Source organism: Homo sapiens, chromosome 14, assembly GCF_000001405.40.
Source record: "Homo sapiens chromosome 14, GRCh38.p14 Primary Assembly".
Taxonomy (NCBI): domain Eukaryota; kingdom Metazoa; phylum Chordata; class Mammalia; order Primates; family Hominidae; genus Homo; species Homo sapiens.
The window spans coordinates 41,376,021-41,379,191 of record NC_000014.9 but is presented as its reverse complement, the minus strand read 5'-3'; positions in this window follow the sequence as shown (position 1 = coordinate 41,379,191).

Below are 3,171 nucleotides of genomic sequence, written 5' to 3'. Positions count from 1 at the left end.
GTCAAGAACTTCTGGGTTTAGTTTCCTTCGATAACTACTTCAATAGATTTTACCCCATTCTAAAACTTTTTTAAGAATTAAACAAAGATCTTTATGTATATTACTAACTATCACAGTAGTAATCATCCATTTTTATAAACAGTTACAACTATTGAAGGTATTGCCGTGAATATGTTGATAGGATTTTAAAGTTTTCTTTACCAGTCACAAAGGGAGTTCTTTGACATGAGACCAGAGATTCTAAAATAGCCTCATTAATACTATTGTTTAAACCATTTTCATATCCATTATTACTATCATAAAATTAGAAATCATGAGGCATGATGATATATACTTGTAAAATTAGCTTAATCCACCCATCAAGCTTGCATCATTTGAGGAAGATAAAACTAAAGCATGAGCAATGTAAATTATAGTCACAGTGTCACAGCACTAGTAAGAAAGCAGCAGAGCACAAAATTGATCTCAGGACAGTCTAATGTCAAGACTCAGCATGTTCAGGTCACCTAAAATATGAGCAGTGGAGACGGAATGACAGTGATTTTCCATCTCTGCCATAGAATATTCACTTGGCAAGTTGACTATGTTTCGTAGACTCCTCTTTCAGTTTTCTTAGAATATAATCTCTTAAGTATTTCTACCCCTCAGAGTTTGTTCATCTTGTCTATTTGCGGTTCATAAAGTAGTTAATTTTGCTCTGTCAATTTCCCCATGAAATTATCAAAAAAAAATCCCTTTTCTCTGAAGTCATAAAAATCCCACTGGCTTTATGAAACTATAAAGCAACATTTAAATTCAGGTTTGAAGTTGACCCACATTTGTTCTACTCTCACTATTTATTGATGCTTTTGGATAATTCAGCAAATTTGCTTTTAAATGAGAGCTTCTTTTAAAAAGTAATTGCCTGTCATATATATCTTATTGCACATTATTAATCAGAACAGGCAAACCTATCTTTTTTATTTTTCTGATAAATGCAATTTTGAGCAGTGATGTTCAGTCATAGTAAGTGCTGATTATATAATCGTCTCACTGAGGTGACTGTAGGAAAGACATTCTTTCTGTGATATTGTGATAGATGTTGACAGAAAAATGATCATGAGCTGATGCAATGCAAGGTTCATCACAGTGCCCTTTTGAACTTGAAAAGAAGAGGACATGCTTTATAGTAGACGAGACAATAAAAATTGGGTATTGGCAATATGACATTGAAAGCTAAAATATGAATCAGTCTTTATTGTAACAAACAAAAAAATTATTAATTCTTTTCGGAAAGGAAAGTTAACCTAAGTCAGTCTACTTTAGCACTTTTGTTCAGGCAGATCATACACATGGAATGTATCTGACAGTTTTTAACTTTTAAAACACCGTATAAAAGTATTAATGTGAAATTTGCCAATCTTGATTTACCTAGTTCTATTTTGGTAAAATAAGCGTAGCAAATAAAAATGTTTGCTACGACTTAAAAATTCATTAATATCTTTGACTGTAGGAAAATCTACATGATCCTATGATCTCAAACTATACTCAATTCATTCAAATTGATATTTTAGTAAATTGACAAACTCGCATTGATTATTTAGTCCTACAAACATATTTCTTCCAAACACATTGAATTTTGTCTAGCTATTTTAGCTTCTCTCTGTTTAAATAACACTAAAAATGTTTTCTAGGAAAACAACTATTATTTTAGTTATTTTGGTAAAGATTTTTGTAACACGATTTTGTTAGAATAATATATAGGCAGGTTCTCCATTTCCACGTGTGGTTGGCATTACAGATAAACCAGGTTCTAATTAAAATATTGTCTCTGAAATTTTACCGCTTTGCCTCACCATTTAACTTAATTTTATTAACTAGATTAAATTTTCCAGAGTTTTTTTAATCCCCTTGCAGTTATAAAGATGCTAAAATCAGAAATTTTTAAATTATAGAGAATGAATGGACTGAGCTATTACTGTGACTCTCCGGAAGGACATGTAGAAGTGGCAGGGTCAAACAAGTTTCACTATTTCTTTTCATTAAAACCTATCATTATTCATTGAGTAATCCATAATACCATAATCTGTTCTAGACAGTCATTATTATACATTTGTGAAGGTTATTTTATAATACATTATCAACTTGCACTATATCTTCAGATGTGAAGGAAGTCATAATAAGGAAAAAAGGGATCAAAGTTTTCCTAATGTGTCAAAGACATTTTTAACTCAATATTAGGCCATCTTTTACAGAGAATGTCTTTTCAGTATTAACTTTAAGATTTTTAATTTGGCTTTTATTCAGTTAAATCTCATAATATATAATTTGCATGCAAGTACTTTAATATTGTACTGTAAAAGAGTACAGAAGAATATATATATATTACATAATTGAATTAGAGATATTTTAATATCCATTGTTTCTTTTCAATAGGTCAAAACATAATCTTAGTTAGCTGTCCGGTTGTGTTGTGCTGAAATATCCCTTATGCTGAGAGACTTTCTTGTTGTTTCTAATATTAAGTAACATGCAGTGGTTAAAAAAAAAAAGTAAATATAGCAACCAAAATTATTGGGAATTCATGATCCTGATTTTGAAATGCTTTCAAGAACACATGTAGAGTCAAAATTGAAAGAACTGAAGCTGTTTGCAACTCGAAGGAAAAGATCAAGTTGAAATACATAAATTGATATTACTTACATGCAGGCTAAACTATTTCAGGTAGGCGTATCTTCTGTGTTGTCTGCCCAGACAGGTTACATTAGAGGTGCTTCAGGACCCTGACTACTTGGTCCTTTTAGGCCTAGTAGCTCTGAGTACATCTGTTCTATTCTTAAACACTCAGAAATCATTCTGCTACTCTGTGTCATGCAGGGCACAGAGAATCTCCCTAACACTATCTGGGGCCCCAACTTTTAAACACATCAAGTAGCCTTGTTTGTTTCTGGGAAATTGCTGCTTCTTTACTACTCTAGGCAGTGAAGTCACTCTTTTTTTACATTGGCAATTTGTACAGAATATGTTTCTGCTTGAAAAAGGACAGGCAAATTTGAGAAAGTAATAGGTGAATATTGTTAAGAATTTAAAATATTCTCCTGCATTATGGTTATCCTCCTTAAGATACTGGTCCCCATTGCAGAGTGTAAAATGTTTTTCGTGATCTGATTCCTACCTACCTACCCACTCTCT